General features: G+C 43.0%; 1 protein-coding gene and 2 long non-coding RNA genes across 55 annotated transcripts in view; 1 reads left to right on the top strand and 2 right to left on the bottom strand.

Moving 5' to 3' along the window:
* KCNMA1 (potassium calcium-activated channel subfamily M alpha 1) overlaps positions 1–20,950 on the top strand; it is a 768,207-nt gene that overhangs the window by 688,303 nt on the left and 58,954 nt on the right. For all 53 annotated transcript variants that reach the window (NM_001271518.2, XM_017016222.3, XM_024447990.2 and 50 more), the window contains 2 exons: positions 140–364; positions 4,541–4,733. In NM_001271518.2, the coding sequence (NP_001258447.1) occupies positions 140–364; positions 4,541–4,733 (418 nt within the window). The remainder of the gene's footprint in view (positions 1–139; positions 365–4,540; positions 4,734–20,950) is intronic.
* The window catches only part of KCNMA1-AS1 (KCNMA1 antisense RNA 1), a 90,550-nt gene that overhangs the window by 29,088 nt on the left and 40,512 nt on the right, over positions 1–20,950 (bottom strand). The window lies entirely within an intron of this gene.
* Positions 43–19,542, bottom strand: LOC124902466 (uncharacterized). Its single transcript, XR_007062207.1, has 3 exons — positions 19,269–19,542; positions 9,723–9,828; positions 43–540 (listed from the first exon to the last, which is right to left on the bottom strand). It is a non-coding gene; the product is annotated as an uncharacterized LOC124902466 (long non-coding RNA).

Raw genomic sequence — 20,950 nt, 5'->3', positions numbered from 1 at the left:
TGATGAAATAAAAATAATAGCACATAGTAAGCTCTCAGCAAATATTTGCTTGATTCTTTGCACAAATGATTTATTTCACTCCTTACAACAGCCCTATGCAGTCTTCTCTCTGACTCTTACCCACTTCTCCCTGTTGTAGACTCGAAGTGAAGCTGCCATGACCGTCCTGAGTGGCCATGTCGTGGTCTGCATCTTTGGCGACGTCAGCTCAGCCCTGATCGGCCTCCGGAACCTGGTGATGCCGCTCCGTGCCAGCAACTTTCATTACCATGAGCTCAAGCACATTGTGTTTGTGGGCTCTATTGAGTACCTCAAGCGGGAATGGGAGACGCTTCATAACTTCCCCAAAGTGTCCATATTGCCTGTAAGTCCAAGGTCACATTATTGATGCCTTTTCTTCTTTTCATTCACAAAAGAAAATCCCGGATGGATATAATAGTTGTAGCTTTGATCATGCCTGTGCTTCTTCATCTGGGTATGGGCCTGAGGACTCAGCACTTCCCCTATGCTCTGTCAAGGAAAATCCAAACCCTGGGAGACCTTATTAAAAGGAATTTGCAGCCAAGTTCAGTCCCTCATCAGGGATGAAGTTTAGCTTGTATCAAGTATATTAACCATATCAGCGTCTAAACACTCTCACTCCTGCCTATACAAAACCTAGAGCATTGTTATATTATGATGTTTATAGTAAGGATTTGCTTACAGAACTATTTATAGCATTATACTTATGGCATTTTTAATGCTTGAAGAAACATTGATCTGTGCCACCTTCTGTTTTTAACTAAATAAATGCAAATAACAGAGTTCTTTATTTCTGCTGTACAGAAGGCCAACTCCTTCTGCAGCTCAGCCCCAACCCCTGTTCATTTAGAAGTCCAGCAACGTGTTCATGGTTGTGTTTGTGTGTGTGTCCGTGTGTGCATGTGTGCATGATATTCTTGACTGCAAAACATTAGGACTTCAGTCTGAAAAAACAGTCTGGGACTCCACAATTTAGTGTGAGGATATGGGATTTAGGAGTCATGTAATTAACTACTTCCTAATCATAATGAATGCATAGTCCACAAACTCTCAAAACATTGTAGAGAATTATGCATTTCAACATTTGATGTAATTCTCCACATCACAAATTCATGCAAATCTCACTTATCCTCCAAATATTTTTCTTGTAAGTTCACATCCCTGAAACTGAGAAACAGGGGCCAGGTGCAGTGGCTAATCCCTGTAATCCCTGCATTTTGGGATGCTGAGGCGGGAGGACCACTTAAGCTCAGGAGTTCATGAGCAGCCTGGGCAACATGGTGAGACCTCTTCTCTACAAAAAGTTAAAAAAATTAGCCTGATGTGGTGGCGTGTGCTTGTAGTTCCAGCTACTTGAGAGGCTGAGTTGGGAGGATCACTTGAGCCTGAGAGGTGGAGGCTGCAGTGGGCTGTGAAAGCACCACTGCACTCCAGCCTGGGCAACAGAACAAGAGCCTGCCTCAAACAAAAACAAAAACAAAACAAGAAACAACTGAGGAACATGGATTTCTCTACATGTTAAGAAGTCTGGGTTTTCCCCCACTTACAAAGCTAAAATGTATTATTTCTGTTATCAGCTTCCAAAACCTCAGAAATGGGGGGAAAAAGAGCCAAGTAATATAATTCATTAAAGAACACACAAGAATCTATCCACAAGCAGTACATGTTACTCATTAGATGCCACCATGTGCCTTTACATAATGCCTGACACAATAGGGACTCAATAAATATTTAAAGGAGTGAGAAAAAGATCGGACAGTTATCTTTTGGATGCTGGGCCAAAAACCCACTGCCTTAGTGAGCACAGGCAGTTGAAAATAGTCACCTATAGACAAACAGTCATACACAGAGGAGAGCATAAGCATATATATGCTTTGCTCATTCCAGAAATATGGTCGATTTGATTATATGATTCCATGGTTATCTTTCTGTCATGTGCTCCTCCACATAGTCCCCTGACCTCTGAAAGTGTCTTTGTAAAGGGTTTATTATTTTACCAGGATACATGAGTCTGTGTGTGTATGTGTGTGGAGAGAGATGGGTATATGTGTGATATTTGGTATTTGTGTGTGTGTTTTGTGTGTTTGTGTATGTTTCCTCCTGTGTGACCTTTTTTGTTTGTTTGTTTTTGTTTGTTTGTTTGTTTTGAGTCCAAGTTTCACTCTTGCTGCCCAGGCTGGAGTGCAATGGCACGATCTCGGCTCACTGCAACCTTCACCTCCTGGGTTCAAGCGATTCTCCTGCCTCAGTCTCCTGAGTAGCTGGGTTTACAGGCATGCACCACCATGCCTGGCTACTTTTTTTGTATTTTCAGTAGAGACAGGGTTTCACCATGTTGGCCAGGATGGTTGCAAACTCCTGACCTCAGGTGATCCACCCACCTCGGCCTCCCAAAGTGCTGGGATTACAGGCATCAGCCACCGCGCCCGGCTCTGTGTGCCCTTGTACACGTTCACTCATCTTTCTTCATGTATATGAATGAGCTGTCATCTTTGCAGGTCATTTCAAACCCTCCAAAATTTAACATACTCAAGCACAATAGATTTTCACAAAATGGGCCTTCACCTATGTCTTCACAGAGTTTATTGGTTAAACAGTACCCTGCCTATAGGGCCAGCCCAGAGAAACATAAGCGATTTCTATGTATGTCATTTGTATTTCTTGTAGTTTGAAATCACGTGTGTACAACTGCACAGGGATCATCTTATATCACAATTACGGCTGGCTTCCCTACAAGATGAAAATTAAAAGAATATGGATGCAGGCAATTGAAGCTTATGCACTGGCAAAATGATTCAGGAAGTTGGTTGGACTTGTTTTGTACCAAGAGATCACAGGAGAAGAGGGCATTCTCCTTCTCTCAAAAAGACGCTGCTCCAGAGCTTGGAACTAGTTGTGTCTCAGCAGCAACCACAGTGCTAAATGCCCCTTCCTCCATAGTTGCACAATATTTTAGGGCCTGAGAATAGAATCATGACTACCAGTGACTCATAAAAGAGGGTAGATAGGCTCCATCTCTGCAGCCAAGTCTCTTTCCAAAGCCAGTTCTCCAGAAAGGGAGATTAGAGGAGGACATTCCCAGATATGTGACAGTTGGCAAACCCTTGGTCTACACAATCAGTGAGTTGAAGGTAACTCAGGTCACCACACAGGCAAAGAGGAAGCTAGATTCAAGCTAGAGGACCAATGAAGCTGGTGGCCAGACAGGAGCCCCAAAATGATGCCGCGTGGCCACTGGGGAGCTATGGCATGGGGTGGCCTGATGATTTTGCTGTGGCTTCACCTGAAGACACAGAGCATGTGGAGGCCATGGCCCTGTCCTAACCTAACCCTTCTATTTTCCCTATGCTTGCATTCCCGGACTCTGTTGTTACTTCCTGGATCTGGGATTTTTCCACTGTCTTTTGTTGTTATTTTTTATGTTAAAAAATCTGTTTACTGGCTTATTTATTTTTTAAATGTACCTGTAATATACAAATATGTTCTTGTTATAAAATATTCAAGCAATATAGAAGTATATAAAGTGAAAAGCAAACTTTCCCCTCACCCCCACGAATCCTATTTCCCTTCCCAGAGGGAATTACCATTATTAGTGTAATGGCTATTTTTCCTGTGCTTTCCTTCCAAATTTACATACATTTATATATATGTAATTTTATTTTGTGGGTTTTTTTTTTTACATAAATGAAACTATACTTTTTTTTAACTGCTGTAGAACTTTTTTTTTCACTTCCCCCTCTATCTTAGGCTTCTAAACCAATGCCTGCATGGAGAGCCAGCTCTGCCTCTTTACCTCCTGCATACATTTTCACTGTGTGCATGTCCAAAAGTATATTTCTCCATTCCTATGTTGTTGGACAATTAGGTCATTTCCCTGTGTATTTTTTTCTTGCTGAAAATATGCAATAAAATTATATGATCTGAAGCTTAACTCCTTTCCATATCTCTTTTGCATTGCACACATTAATTCCACTCCATCCATAGCCTCCAAATTGAGCCGCACATCCAGGCCCACCTCATCACTCTGTGCTCACTGGCCATTTCTCCTTGGCTGCATTGGAACTGCTGTCTTTTGCCTGAGACAGAAGTGACCCGCTATTAAATAAACAGGCATTTGAAACCCACCCCCTTGTTACATTCTGAAAGCCAGAGGTTGCCACAGGACAGTTACTTAAATCAAGACAATTTCCAGGCAGGAAGAAGATGTAGAACCCTGGCATTATTCCTCTCCCGCGTTTGTTAGTAATAGCTTGATTGAGTATTGAGAACAAGCTTAAAATGCTGCCATCAGCACCGACTACCCTTTAGATTAGCACACAGCTCCTATTCCCTTGAATGTAGTTAGGCCAGCTTAATGTCAAGGCATAAAAAAGATACTTGTTAAATAATTTCCCAAAGCTCCGACTCAATCTTTAATTTGTTTTCCTCTTTCCCTCTCCTCTCACTTTTGCTCCTCTCTCTCTCTCTCTGTCTCTTTCTCCCCCCATCTCTGTTTTTTTTTCTTTCCTCTATGCCAAAGGGTACGCCATTAAGTCGGGCTGATTTAAGGGCTGTCAACATCAACCTCTGTGACATGTGCGTTATCCTGTCAGCCAATCAGAATAATATTGATGATACTTCGCTGCAGGACAAGGAATGCATCTTGGCGTCACTCAACATCAAATCTATGCAGTTTGATGACAGCATCGGAGTCTTGCAGGCTAATTCCCAAGGTAAGGACAGCCTGTAATACTTCTTTGCTGTGCCTGCAGGGGACAGGGGCTGGCAAGAGGGATATCCTTCACTCAGTAATTCAAAGAGGCTCACATCAGCCTGCCTGGCAGTGAAACCTGCGGTCACCATGATGGCTTTCAAAGGGGCATCTGCTGCCTCTTCTTTCCATTCCAGAATGCAGGCTTGAGACCTGGTCACCCACACACAGACTAGGTTGCCTTTCCAGAGGATAAACAAGCCTTTAAATAGCCACCCCCTCAGCTTTCCCAAGGAGTGGCTTCATGACCAGTGTCATCAGCTAAATGTCAGAGCACTGAAAAGAAGCTGGCTGCACAATTCTGACCGTTTCCTTCCAGTATATGTTTTTGCCATTGAGCTGGGATGGGAATGAAGCTTTGCTATTGTTAGAGCCGCCTCTAGGACTCTGCTGACCAAGGGATGGTAATCTCTGGAGAGTGGCAACTCTATGGACACTAAAAGTCATTTAGCAAATGGTGACACTTGTCAGACCACACATTTTCCTATAGGAGGCAAAGCAGCCTTAAGTGACACACGTCTGCCTTCCTACTCTGCCCCTAGTCTTTCCTGTCATTTGCTTTGGGACCCTGGGCAGGTGGTTACAAGTAAAGATGTCTAGGGGTCTCAGAAAGGCAACACAGCAAAACCTTCATAAAAAATGACCTCTGTAATCAGGATCTGGCAGGATAGGATGCAAAGCATTTTCCATTGAGTGACACCTCCGTGTAGGCTAGCCATGAATTGGAGGATAGTTGTTACAGACGAGCTGCCAGAGGGTGGCATTGGCTGCCTGATGGGGACCAGAATCCCATCAGTCCAGGATGGAAGGGTGTAGGAGCACAGCCCATGAGAGCTATGGCTACTGGGATATGAAGCATCACCTTATTGATAGCTTGGCAAGTGTCTGACCTCCTCCCCATCATGCCAGGCTTTCTAGAAGCTCAGCTGAATCATGCATCCTGGACCTGTGAGCTACATTATTTTTTGTCAACTTGACATCACCACCACTGCCTTCTAACATTTGCTTAGCATTGCAGAAAAGCCAGGAACAATAGTTCCTGGAATCCTCTTCCCTGCATGGCTCTGGGCTAGAGTCAGCTGGTGGGAGATGGGCACTGGGGTGAGATTTGGAAAGTGGAGGAGAAAGATAGGCTTTGATTCTTTGGAGGCAACTGCAGCCAGACCCTGGCAGACCCAGGTTCAAATCTTCTATCAGATGAGCTTTCTGGGAGCCAGTGTCTTCACTGCTACAGACTGAGAGAGGGGCTGGGGCTTCTCTGAGGATCTTGAGATTCACAGCAGCTTCTGGTCAAGCTTAAGAGAACCTTCCCCTTTGGTGGTGCATGTGAAATGGCTTCTGTCCTTCTGACATCACCCTGATACAGCCTGAAGCCTAATTTTGACCTCTCCATGCCACCGTCCTCCCTGCCACACCCAAATCTAAATCTTGGTATCCACCTGCTCAGCTGTGCCCGCAGGACAGCACAACATGTGAAGGCCTAGGAGAGGCTCTGAGCTTACTCCCAGCTGCATCCTGAAGAGGTAGAGCCCGCATCCTGTGCGGCCTGCCCGGGTAGCACAGGCGAGAAAGGATGTGAGAAGACAGTAAGCTGACCTTCTAGGAGTTGAAAGAGGCAAGCCGGCATTTGGTTCCTGCCTTTAAGCCCTTGACTTTCAATATGTGTCCTCTCTGCCCTGCCCCAGTATGGGTGTCTGTTGGGGGAGGCTGTTAGAGTTACAGAACCTCATGGGCCATCCCAGACCTGCTGGGTCAGAATCTGCATTCCAACAAGATCCCCAGGCAACTCAAATGTGCCCTTTTAAAGCACAGTAAACCTTCACATGAACAGGATGTGACCAACCCTTGGTAGATGCTCCTCCTCTCCTGGGGAGGAGTGAACCATCAAGGGGAAAGGAAAACAGTGAAAGCAATGATTCTCCCTTTAAGTACAGACAGAAGCCAGCAGGAGGAGGCAGGAAAACACTCCCTTTCCCCAACATGCCTGTTTCCTCCAAACTCGATCATGATTTTCCAGGGCCACAGATTAGAATGTCAGTGTATAATTTAGTTACATACACATCTGATATAGTTGTTCCTTCCAGTTCTCTTAAACCTCATCCCAGCCTCTTAGATCCTATATAAAGGCCAAACTGGTAACAATTCTTCCACTCCCCGGTGCCCAAAAGCCTTCTTTATTCTTTTATAGCACAGGATAAGCAAGAAAAATAGGTTTTGACAGGAGATATGGAGGAAAGAGAAAGGGAGCTTATTTTTCCTCCAAAGAAAAAAAGGGCACTCTTTCTTTTGTATACACACATGCACACAGTTATGGTCTGAATGTTTTTGTACCCTCCACCTACTCCCTGCCAAATACATACATTGAAATCCTAACCCTCAAGGCGATGGTATTAGGTGGTGGGGCCTTTGAGAGGTGTTTAGGTCATGAGGGTGGAGCCCTCATGAATGGGACTGGTGTCCTTATAAAAGAAGCCTGAGGCCAGGCATGGTGGCTCACGCCTTGGGAGGCTAAGGCGGGTGGATCACCTGAGGTCAGGAGTTTGAGACCACTTGGCCAACATGGCGAAACCCAATCTCTACTAAAAATACAAAAAAGTTAGCCAGGCATGGTGGCGGGTGCCTATAATCCCAGCTACTCGGGAGGCTGAGGCAGGAGAATCACTTGAACCCGGGAGGTGGAGGTTACAGTGAGCCGAGATGGCACCATTGCATTCCAGCCTGGGTGACAGAGCAAGACTCTGTCTAAAACAAAATAAAATAAACCAACAAACAAATAAATAAAGTAAAAGAAGCCTGAGAGAGACCCCTCGTCCCTTCTGTCATGTGAGGACACTGCGAGAAAGTCCTCACCAGAGACTGAACATGCCAGCGCCTTGACCTTGAACTTTCCGTTCTCCAGAACTGTGGGAAATAAATATCTGTTGTCTATCAGCCACCCAGATTATGGTGTTTGTTACAGGAGCCCAAATGGACTAAGACCGCACAAATGACAGAAGAAGGCAAAGGATGTGTTTCTATGCTCAGCAGTGATTCTCGTAGACCCCTGGTCAGCAGTGGAGAGGAGCATCTGTCTCTCACTAGCCAGCAGTCTGTTCTGCTCCCTAAGAGAGAGTGTCAAAGCTCTAGGCCCACCAAGACTTTATGTCCCATTGTTTTCTTGTCTGTCTGTCTGCTCCTCTCTTGTTTTTGAATACTGTTCTCTGGTGATACTCTAACCTTGTAAAGGCAGTGGTCCAGTGGGAGCCATCAACACAGAGAAATCGCTCCTTCCCCAGAGCTCACCTCTGGCTGCAGACCCAGCACTCCACTCCTTGGGCTCCTCCCAGCCTGTGAGCTGACTCTGTGAGCTGAGTTTCCCTGCTTTTCTATATCTGAGACCCTTTTGACTAACTGGAGTGCCCACTGGCCTGAGATACTTTTGTCATCCTTCATCTGGGCATTTGGCATGATCAAGCTCCAAGGGAATAGGGATTATGGGGAACAAAAAGGATTTCATGTTACTCTCCATTTTTTTTCTTTTCTTTTCTTTCCCTCCTTCCCTCCCTCCCTCCCTTCCTTCCTTCCTTCCTTCCCTTCCCTCCCTTCCCTTCCCTTCCCTTCCCTTCCCTTCCCTTCCCTCCCTCCCTCCCTCCCTTCTTTCTTTCTTTCTCTTTCTTTCTTTCTTTTTCTTTCTTTCTTTCTCTTTCTTTCTTTCTTTCTTTCTTTCTTTCTTTCTTCCTTCCTTCCTTCCTTCCTTTCTTTCTCTCTTTCTCTCTTTCTTTCTTTCTTTCTTTCGAGGTAGAGTCTCTCTCTGTTGCCCAGGCTGGAATGCAATGGTGTGATATCAGCTCACTGCAACCTCCACCTCCTGGGTTCAAGTGATTCTCCTGCCTCAGCCTCCCAAGTAGCTGGGATTACAGGTGCGTGCTGCCACACCCGGCTAATTTTTGTATTTTTAGTAGAGACAGAGTTTCACTATGTTGGCCAGGCTGGTCTCAAACTCCTGGCCTCAGGTGATCCACTCACCTTGGCCTCCCAAAGTGCTGGGGATTTCATGTTACTCTTATCATTTTGGAAAACAAATCTAACTTCCTCTGAGTGATAACTACACAGATTTCTGGCCACTGACACCTTGCTTTCCCTCTTATGTATTCTATGGTCCTTTATGGAACCTCATGCTCTGCATTGTCTGAAGAACTGTCTCCATGTCTCTAGAACCTCACTGGGTAGAAATGTGGACTCAGGACAAATGTCATGCTCTTGGGCCAGAATATGCATGCAACCCTATGGAAAGCTGTCCTAAGATGATATAATTTAGCATGAAAAATGTGCATTCACATTGAGAAAGTAGAGCCTTCATTGGACAGCTGCCACTGCATGTTATTAGGGCTCCTAGACTAACAAAGCCTCTTTTTTCTCTTCTGTTCTCTTTTCACACTCCCTTTTGATGTCACTTTTCTAGCCCACATGGTGTCAGAACTGACCCAGCCTAGGGATTCTGGACCAGACACTTTCTGAAAAGACCCAAGATGTGATGGCTTGTTGTCAAAAACAATTACAGAAAAGGTGGCATATCCCAAGCCAGATGGTATATCCGATGTGACAGTTGGGTCTATGAGATGCAGTTTTAATATACAGCAGGCAAAACTGCAGTGACAATTATATAAAGCAGATGAAGCTGCTTCTTGCTGGTCAGCAAACATCAGCTCAGAACCACTTTACAGCTCTTTACCAGCAACTAAGTGCCTTTATTTACAGAGTGCCTGTCACTTCCCTTTGGCTGGAGAGCTGGTGTATTATTTAGCACGCATTTATCTGGGGAAAACATTTCAATTTAAATCAGCTGGTACAACAGTGGCTCTTGCCAGACTGTTTCCCTGTGGTTCAAAAAGATGAGAACTGAGTCTGATCTTGGAAGAAAGGGTGAGCAGAGGGAGGCAATGTCCGCTCTCTGAGCTGCTTCAGTTCATACCTGAAAAGAGGGAGCATGCCATGGCATTTCCCATTCTGCTTTCATATTGTTTTGAAATGATGATCTTGTAGTTGCTTCCTGCTTACCCTTCCATGAAAGGTAACTCCTAAGGAAAAGAAAAAGGAATAAATGGCTGTTCTCCATGCATCAGGCACTCTAAAGGCCCAGAACACAAAGGTGACCAAAGGTTGCTTGGATTCAGCCACTCACTATGCTTGCAGGATTCAGGTGAGTGGAGGAGGTATCCCCATAAACAATGACAGTCCAAGGAAACAAGGACGAGGCTAGAAATAGAGGAACACAAAGGGATCCTTGGTTTAGGTATTTTGAGGAATTGAGAAGGCTTTCAAGAAGAGGTGGCATCGGCCAGGCACGGTGGCTTACGCCTGTAATCCCAGCACTCTGGGAGGCCAAGGCAGGTGGATCACAAGGTCAGGAGATCGAGACCATCCTGGCTAACACAGTGAAACCCCGTCTGTACTAAAAATACAAAAAATTAGCAAGGCCTGGTGGCACGCCCCTGTAGTCCCAGCTACTTGGGAGGCTAAGGCAGGAGAATCATTTGAACCCAGGAGGCGGAGCTTGCATTGAGCCAAAATCATGCCACTGCACTCCAGCCTGGGCGACAGAGCAAGACTCCATCTCAAAAAAAAAAAAAAAAAAAAAAAAAAAAGAAGAGGTGGCATCTGTGGATGACTTGAATGCATGTGGCTATGGAGCACTTGAAATTTAGGAATTAAATTTTTCCTTTTAATTTAATTTTAACAAATATAAAAATTTAAAGTGATCCATAGCCAGTGGCTACCATATTGGATGGTGCAGTCCTAGAGTGTAGACTTGTCTTGCTAAGGGTTTGGATTTGGGGGAGTCATCAAAGATTTATAGGAAAAGAGTAATTAATTCCATGCTTGAAAAAGATAACAGGTGGAGGCAAAGTGAGCTGGCTTGAGACGGAGCGAATGGAAGTGACGGCAAAGATTCCTGGGGATGTGTTAGAGGGACAGGGACAAGTACAATTTGGCCCCAATACAGGGTACATATAAGGCAGCAGGGAGAGATGAAGTTGAAATGTGGGTTGGGCATTGAGGAATTTCTTTTCTTTCTTGAGTTAGGAAGCTGTAAATAATTTTTTATGTGTTTATGAGTTAGGAAGCTGTAAATAATTCACTAGGCACTGGGGAGCTACAGAAGGTTTCAAAGCAAGAGAGTGATGGGATTGGACCTGAGCTTTAGGGAGATGGATCTGGCAGCCCTGTGAAGCATTGTTTGGAGTGGAAAGGAAGAAGATGCAAGGACTCTGGTTAGGAACTGTGGCTATCCAGATGGAAGCCTGAAACCTTGGACTGGAAAAAGAATGGGAGGTTCTAGAAGGAGTCACTGTACATGCAAAACAGTCTGCATGGATGTGTGTTTCCTTCTGGGGGTCAGAGGATGGCAGAGTGGAGGGACAGGCTGCAGGAGAAAGCAGTGTTGGGAGGATTGGGTTTTAGTCATGGTTTATTTCCACGGGGACTTAGTGGAAAATCCAGATGGGCATGAAAAGCTGAAGGGTGGAAATGAAGTCCTTAATCCAGGAAAAGTTTGCTTCTAGCAATCTGGCCCATTGCTCATGCTCTAGGAGCAAAGGAGAGCCTCAGAGAGAGGGAGAGAGGCAAGAGAATTGCAGGACAGAAGTATACCATCTCAGAAAGAGAGGGTAGAGGAAAACTTTGGTAGAAGCCGGAGAACCAAAAGCTGAGCCTGTCCCGAATGTCCCAGGGGAGGGAGGAGCCAAGATCTCAAACCCAAGACATATGTCCACTGCCTTTTTTCCATATTTTATGCTTTATAGACACACAGACACACACACACACACAAACACACACACACATACGCACACACACACACAGCTTTCCTCCCGCCCTCTTTGACCTGAAGCTATAGTTACACTAAATGAACATCCACATATAAGCGGACACCCTCCTTTCTCCACATTTCAACAAAGGTTAAGAGCCTCAAGTAGGGAATGACATTTTTCTTTGGAAGTATGGCAGCAGTCCTTGGAGAGATAGCATTAATTGGGGGCATAGGGTACACCTTCCCTATCCTAAAGTCTGAGATGTCTTTTACTGTTCCAAAGAAGAAAATGTGATTTCTCTTTTATCTTTGTGTGAGACAGTGTGGATTAGGATCTCTAAATTACTGGATGACAAAAAGCAGAACGAAAAGGGCCTTCCTAAAGTGGAACTCTGGGATGAAATCCACAGGACAGAATGCATTGAGGACCTCTGCATGTTAATTTTCAAATGATCAGTAAAGACAGGCTAGATAAACCTTGGTGATAAAAGCATCATTTCTTTTGAGCAGTGACTGTTTCATCTTTGTTGGGATAGGAGGGAATGTGTCAAGAGCTGTGAAGATTTGAAGCAGAAATTTGACAAACAAACAGAAAAATGTTGTAAAGAGGACGGCCAGAATGGGGCAGTGCCTGGACAACATGTCACTTGCCAAGTGGTTAAGAGAACAAAGCCAGCAGGCTTAAAGGGCCATTTAATCTTCTGCTCCATTGGACAAAAACCAGGGCCAATGGTTAATAATTAAGGAGAACAGGATTTTAGCCCAACATAAGGAAGATATTTCCAGAACAGCATGGACAGCCTGCAAATGCAGCGAGCCTCCTATCCCTGACTGTCTCTTTGCTAAAGGAGAGTTACTGACACGCTCTTTGTGATGGGAGGGAGATTGGTAGAGAGATGAGTTCTGTGGTCCTTTATAACTAAGGATATCCAGCATGTTCTTGATTTTTATTACATAGGGATCTGTGTTTTATATGATTTGCATTGTAACTCCAGAGGGAGAGCTATGGTGTTTGTCAGGATTGGGGTCATGAGTCTTTTAGTGGAAGCATTCATGTCCTTCCTGAACGGCACTGTCTTTGTGTTCAAAGATGGGGAGCGGACGGCATTGGGGTGAGCAGCTGCAGATCTGGCTTTTCCATTAATTGGACAGACCACCCCATCTTCAACTTCCACACCACCCTTCCACACCTGCCTTTTTCCCAGGGCTCTGCCTTCTCCCACTTCTACAAGCCTGGCTTTCCTGACCCCCAGGCTGCTCACTGTTTCTTGCAGACGCACCTATACATGTATCCTCACACACATTTCCCCTCCTTGAAGTCAGAGAAGAATTTTTTCAGCTGCTCCCATATAACATTTCATTACCACAATATTCTCTCTCAATTCTGAAATGGTGATAGGGGAGAAGCCATTTCTCTTTATACCCACTAAACGAACAAAGCTCAGCGCTAAAATATTTTTCTTCCATTGTAACTGAAACTGCTGTTGGCTTCCGTCCCAAAAACCAGAAAGACAATTATACTTAACTGTTTAGAGATTTATAAATACCACACTGGAGTAGCCTCTAGGTAGTAACTTTAGATATCTACCCCAATAATTTTCTTTTATTGGTTTGTGATTTAGATCTTATCTTGAGTCCTCTATAATAAGAGTAGTACATTTCATTAAAAGAGCTTACTAAACAATAAAGAAAATCTGGCTTAGGGCTCTGAGCAGATCTCAAGTACAGAAAGGGGCCTGCCCTGTTACATTTCTTCCGTGGACATCCCAAGATGAATCTCATCACAAGAATCTCAGGTGCAGATGTATTTCAGCAAAGCAGCAATTGCAGCTGTTTTCTAAATGACTTCAACTTAAGAGAATTTTTCCTATATAGCATATTTCATCACATGAGAGATCCTCTTTAACCCTGCCATTTACTATTCTAGTAATGTATTCCTAGCAAGAGAAACAAGGAAAAACAACAGCAGCAGCTATAATAAGAGACTGAGAAACTTGGACTACTTTTTGAACTCATGGAGGGTTTTATGCCCTCCATGCATGAAAGACTTTCTTGGAGAGTGGATGTGCAGAAGAAAAAGTAAAAACAGACAGAATCATCTTTTCCTTCCAAATGGATGCAGAGCAGATTCATGTCCCCACTCAGGCTGTGCCCGGCTTGTGACAACTGTCGTGAAGGGAAATCTTAGCTTCAGAGACAGAAAGCAGATTTTGGGTGGTCTTGGGGTTGGACTGAACTTATGGTTTTAGCATCTGGCTCTCACATGCCAGTTTACTCCTCAAAATTTGTGTGCCTGGTTAATGCCTTTTTTAAGAAAATGTAATTTTTTTTTCAGGTGAGCCATACACCAGACACATTCCTATGTAATATCTTATTTAATCTCCCTGACAACCTGCTGAGGGAGAGTTACCACCTTCATTTTACAGTTGAGAAAGCAGAGATTCAGGGGAATTAGGTACCTTTCCCATAGCCTTATAGCTAGTCAAGGGCACATGGAGTTGATCTCCAAACATCTGATTTCAAAGTCTATGCTTTTCTCGGCACATCAGCCTGTCTCTTAAAAGGCAAGTGTTATCCTGATGAGAATGGGCCTGAAGCTATACATGTACTTTCAAGGGTCATGGGGGCACCCCCAGGACAAACACTCAAGGGGATGAAAGTGCTCAAGGTGTGCCAGCCTCACTTCTAAACTGGTCCTTGCACCTAAGGGGCTGAAGTTTGTTTTCAACGGTTCTTGTCTCTGTGAATCCCCATTTTTTGAGCCCCTTGACCCTAGCTGTTCCAACAATGAGAGATACTAGGATTCTGTTGGCTTCAGTCTTTCTTGCTACTACCACTGGACAAATGAGTAAATCTGGGGGCAATGTGAAGCACTGTGCTTAGCCTGTCTCTGTGAACAGTATGACTGTTGGAGTCTTTCTTTTCTGTTTTTCTTGTGAATATAGATGGGACTTCGGAGCTGTAAGGAAGAGAGTGGAATATTTGAGACCTAGCTGTTACTTTCTTTGTGAAGACACTTAAATAACATTTTCAGGTTTTATTTACTCCTTCCATGCTCAAGCGGAAGTTTCCGTGACAGCAGATGAGAATGAAGAGACCACTGTAGCGCCCAAAGCCTAGGCTCAGAAAATGGTCCAGAGAAATTGTCTTATAGTGGGGAAACCACAGCTGTAGAATCAGAGAGAAGTAAAGGAAGTCTTGTAATCCCATGGACCCTCTAAGACACCTCATGAAATTCTGGATAAGGATAGGTCAACTACCTTATCCTGCATGTCAGTTTGGTTTGCATCCTATGCATGAGGTTAGTGCCCCTGTTGTCTCCATAGTCTATGCTGTCATAGAAGTAATGGGGTCTACAGGCAAAAGGGACAGAAACATAAAATAAGTTGTATGGAATGACTTTGACACACATACTTAAGGATACAGGGCTTGGAACATTTCAGTGTATTCCTTGTGCAGAGTGTGAGCCATTTCATTCAATACACCTGCTGTGAAGATAGCACACATGCCTCAAGCTGGCAGATAAATCTAGCCAGCTATTCAGTGCATTTTTGTCTTCACCTATTCTCTATAGGCAATAGCTCATGTGCAGTCTTAAAAACTTTACTTCTTTTCTTAAAAGCAACAAGAGCGAAATTCCATCTCAAGAAAAAAATAAAGAAATAAATGGCCCTGAGGCCAGATGCAGTGGCTCATGCCTGTAATCCCAGCACACTGGGGGGCCGAAGCAGGTGGATCACCTGAGGTTGGGAGTTTGAGACCAGCCTGGCTAACATGGTGAAACCCCATCTCTATTAAAGTACAAAAATAAGCCTGGTGTGGTGGCTCACATCTGTAGACCCAGCTACTCCAGAAGCTGAGGCAGGAGAATCACATGAACCCAGGAGGTGGAGGTTGCAGTGAGCCGAGATTGCGCCATTGCCCTCCAGCCTGGGTAACAGAGTGAGATCCCATCTCAAAAACAAAACCAAAAACAAACAAGCAAAAAGAAAAAGAAAGAAAGAAAGAAAGAAAAAGTGGCACTGCAAAGAAGCCAACTGATTTATAAATGACTTTAGTTCTGGATTTATTGAACATTTAAGGATATGGCTAGTCCTTAAATGCTTCAATTATACTTCATGGAATGGTCTGGAGGAAAATTATTTTCTGAATTCCAGAAAAGCAGGATAGTCCTTGAGCATCTTGTTACAGATCTCCAGGAGAGATGTTCTACCAGATGTTTTCAGTGTCCCATGCATGCTGCCACACAATGTGTTATGAGAAGGCAGAGGTGGCTTTGGGCTGTGGTAGTCAGGAAAGACTCCAGAGTAAAGGGACCAGAATTTGAAAATAAGTGTGATTAATATAAATAAAGGTTCCGACAGGCATGTGGAAAGGGCTGAAGCTGAGTAACAGAAGGCACAGAAACAGGAAAGGCCGAGTGTTTTTCACAGAGGGTCACCTGGCTATTTGTGTACTAATGGTATAACCAAGGTACTTAAAGGGCTCACTATGTCAAAGGAAATGCTTGTAGGTGGGTGCACTGTTAACCTGAGTAGATCCTCCAAAGAAGAGCCTGTTCTATTGTTTTGCTGACCTCTTCATGCTCGCCAACTGCCAGAAATCTTTCTAAATGCTTAGCACAGTACCTCACACCTAGTAGACACTCAGTAGAGGTTTGTGGAGGGGATGGATACATGAATACATGATTTAATCCTGCTATCTGTTGTTTGCAGCCTGTTCTCTCTTAACGTGCCCTCAAATGAGATAAAGCAGCCAAATACCTGTATTAAAAACCTACACTTTCCCTCCAGGATTTAGTCTCCCTTCATTTGACAACTGGGCACTGGACAAGGGTTACAGAGATCAAAGATGTTGCACTTGTCTGGAGGAGCCTTTATCAGATGGCCAGGTTGTCTCTAATATAAACTGTACTATTCCCTTAACCTTTACTAATAGCTCCTGGCCCTCAACCTTTGACTGGCCTCGCTGAATGTACTATTACACAGTACCAACCCAGGGCCCAAGGCTGTAGGACTGAGACCTCCAAAGTTCAACAAAGGGCAGAAAATATCTCTGCTTTCTGCTCCAGGGAGCTGTGAATGCTTCCTGAGAGCTTCCCTGGCCATGTAGAAATGAACATTCCTCTCAGCGGTAGACTGGAGCAGGAGGAACTTGGAAGATGTGTTTTGTTGCTCTAGTTCATGATAGTGAATCACAAACATGGCTGTCAGAGTAATGATGCAGTCATGGAGGGTTAAGGAACAGCTTTTAAATCCTGGTTCTGTCCATCATGAGCAATTTGACATAATAAAGATTCCAGATTTCATTTCCTCATCTATATATCTATATATTAAATGACCCCACCCCAAAACACCGAGGGATCAGTGTATGAATACAAAGACATAATGGCTGCAGAAAGGTTATTAAACATCAAAGGCTGTAGAAATAGCACTTTGCAGTCAAGTTCAGTCATGGCACACATGGGTCTGGAATGACAGCTTGGGTTTGAAGCCCAGATCTGCCACTTACTAGGCCTGGGAAAATTACTTTACCTCTTTTTATCTCAATTTTCTCACTAAGAATACTAAATGCACCTGGCTTATCAAATGACTATGAGAATTCAATGAGATACAGGACTTTCTATTGTCCATACAGTACCTTTAAGTAAGCCAGAAAAAGTCACTCTTTTCTCAAGACACCTTATTTTCATCTGCTGAAAAAAATGGTGATAATCTACTAATATGTTTGAACAATACACTTTTCTGTCATCTGCTGGGAAAAAATATTGTCATAAATATGCAAATATACAATGCCTATTGATATGAGTGGTACCCACTTAGATTAGCTACTGTGTAGTGCCCAACCTTCACAACCATACATGGCAACCCTGAATGAATGGCTGTTAAAGCACTTCCTACCTAGGATGGGAGAAATCAAGCAATGTTAGCTATTTTTGTTATTATTATTACAATTTTACTATTTTATTTCATCCCCTCCTACTCCCAGATTAACAAATCATAAGTTAGGATTATCCACTTGTACCTAGCAGCCAGAATTACTGTTGATCTGTTTGTCTGTAAATATGCATAGAAAATAGATGATGATAGAAACCAACACACCTTTGGAAGGTGAGCAGACCAGGTAAGGTAGACTAACAAAAGCCTACAGAGGAGTTGAGGAAGGACTAGGGCAGATGAACAGTGAGCATGGGGCGCTTCCCCTCCATAGACAGGCTAGCATGGCGCCATGCAACGCAGCTGCTCTCTGAAGCAGAGATTGGGACAGCTCGCTGACAGAAAACCTCATACACTTCCAACCTCTGGGGTTTGGTTGTGGTAGGAGCCCTGATGTTGGTGAAGTGACACCCTTCCAGAGCAGGACCCATGCTACTCCACCTAGTCAACAGATGGCACTTGGCCTCCCTCCTTTGCCTCTTTTTTTTTTTTTTCTTAAAACAGTAATTTTGGGTCTCAGCCAGAAAACCTATAGCATATTAGTTCTCAACTGGGAAAGGGGTCTTGTACCTACCCCTTTAAATAGCTAATAATGAATCTTCTCTGTGACCCTCCTCCTACCTCTTCATAGACACATAAATATTTATATACAAATTTAAGAGTTTTGTCTACCCTAATGATTTTCTTCCCCTCCAGGTTTATTGAAATACAACTGACAAGTAAAAGTTGTATATATTCAAGGTTTACAACATGATGATTTGATATACATATACATTGTGAAATTATTACCAAAATCAAGTTAATAAACACATCCATCATCTCCCATAGTTACTATTGTGTGTGTGTGTGCCCGGGTGTGTGTCATGAGGACACTTAAGATCTATTCTTTTTGCAAACTTCAAGTGTACTACACAGCACTATCAACTATAGTCACCACACTTTACATTACAGCCCCAGAATTTATTCATCCTATAATGGCAAGTTTGTATCCTTTGACCAACATCTCCCCATTCCCCCTGACCCTCACCACAGTCCCTGGCCACCACTGTTCTACTTTCTGCTTCTATGAGTTCAACTTTTTAGATTCCATGTATAAGTGAGATCATACAGTATTTGTCCTTCTATAACTGGCTTATTTCACTTAGCATGATGTTCTCCAGTTCATCTATGTTGTTGAATGACAGAATTTCTTTCTTTTTTATGGCTGAATAATATTCCATTATATATATGTGCAGGTACATACACAACACAGACCATATTTTCTTTATCTACTCATCTGTCAATGGACACCAGTGGTTTCTATATCTTGGCTATTGTGAATAGTGCTCCAATAAACATGGAGGTGCAGATGTCTCTTTGAGATACTGATTTCATTTCTGTTGGATATATACCCAGAAGTGGGATTGCTAAATCATGTGGTGGTTCTATTTTTAATTTTTTATAGAAACTTCATACTGTCTTCTATAGGGCTGTACCAATTTACATTCCCACCAGCAGTGTACAAGGGTTCACTTTTCTCTCCAACCTCACCAACACTTGTTATCACTTGTCTTTTCAATAATAGCAATCTTAACAGGTATGAGGTGATATCTTATTGTGATTTGCATTTTTCTGATGATTAGTGATATTGAGCACCTTTTCATATCTACTTGTTGGCCATTTGTATATCTTCTTTATAAAGATGTCTATTAGGTTCCTTTGCCCATTTCTTAATCAGGTTATTTATTTTCTTGCTACTGAGTATATGAGTTCTTTATATAGATGGGATATTAACCCTTTATTGGCTAGGTGGTTTTAAAATATTTTCTCCCGTTCAGTAGATTGGCTTCTCACTTTGTTGATTGTTTTCTTTGCTGTGCAGATTTTTAGTTTGATGTAGTCCCGCTTTTTAATTTTTGCTTTTGTTGCCTGTGCTTTTGGTGTCATATCCAAGAAATCATCGCCCAGACCAATGTCAAAGAGCTTTTCCCCTATTTTTTCTCCTAGGAGTTTTACGGTTTCAGATTTTACATTCAAGTCTTTAATCCATTTGATTTTTGTATATGCTGTAAGAGAAGTGTTCAGATTTATTCTTTTGCATGTAAATATTGTTTTCTGAACATCATTATTCATTGAATAGACTGTCCTTTACCTATTGTGTGTTCTTGACATCCTTGTCAAAGATTAGTTGCCCTTAAATGGGTGGATTTAATTCTGAACTAGCCCACTGTTTTTCAACCTTAGCTGCACATTGCACTCACCTGGGGAACTTTTAACATTCTTGAAATGCTCAGGCCATACTCCAGAGCAATTAAATTAGACATTGATGCAGGCATGCATTGGTGATTCCAACGTGCAGCCCAAGTTGAGAAACACCAGCCTAGCCCCTTACTTACTCAAGGAAACCATCTCTGATCCTTGTATCAGGCAGCTGATTTACTAAAGCTTACATTTCCATAGAAATTTATCTTGGAAATTTATTTATAGAATAAATCATTCTCCTAGGCATGATTGCTAGGAGATTTGGAAAGCATATAATGGGCATTGTGAAAATGCAAGATACATGAGAAATTCACAAACTTCCACATGGTTCCCAGCAGGGAGCTAGTGGGAGCTGGGAAAATAAACCAGGGGGTGTCCATTTGAGAGGTCAAGGCAGGTGGGCACAAACAATTCTTTGAATACCTAATCAGCATAGGAAATGGAAGAATTTTGAAAATCAATCAGGCCATGGGCCTAAAGGCAAGCAAGGAAGGTAAATAATAATAACATCAGGGTTGAGGTTTCACACTTAATCTATAAAACTACTTTTAACAGGCCCCTAGGTGATTATAAATTCGTGGTGGCTTTCTCTTTATTGGGATTATATGGGTCTATTCCATATTTCCAAAGGAAGCCCTTCCTATTATGCAGGTGTGTCTCCTTATTTATTTATTTATTTGCATTTAAGATATTGAAACTTTTTTAAAAAAAACTCATTTCTGTGAGCATTAAGTATATACCATGCAAGGAAGCAATTGTCTCTATCTTATGAAATATTAAATCAAAATGCTTCCTGTTCCCTCATGTCCCAGAGATAAATACAGCAGTACTTTGAAGCCCCTCTTGGAGCTGTTTTGCCTGCAAATTTATTGTTTTGTCTCCATTTTCAGAAAGCCCTGTTTTCTATGAAGTATAGCACTCTAGGTAGTTTTTAAGGCGCAAACTCCTCTGGAGTTGCCTGTGTCGGCAACAACTCTTATGTAGATGGCACACGAGGGATGGCGCGTTGATCGGCTCCTTTAAGATGACAAATGGGCAGAGAGTGTTATTGTCTTTGATTGCATGCCTTACATCATCTGTATGTAGGAATAAGAGGGCCATACTTTATCTTTAGCCATTTTATAAATATTTAAGTCCTTATAGTTGCCTAAAGATATTAAAGCATATTTTACAGTAGTCGGAATATAAATATTATATATAGCACAAGATACCAAA

Source organism: Homo sapiens, chromosome 10 (assembly GCF_000001405.40).
Source record: "Homo sapiens chromosome 10, GRCh38.p14 Primary Assembly".
NCBI lineage: Eukaryota > Metazoa > Chordata > Mammalia > Primates > Hominidae > Homo > Homo sapiens.
This window is presented reverse-complemented; position numbering and strand designations above follow the sequence as displayed.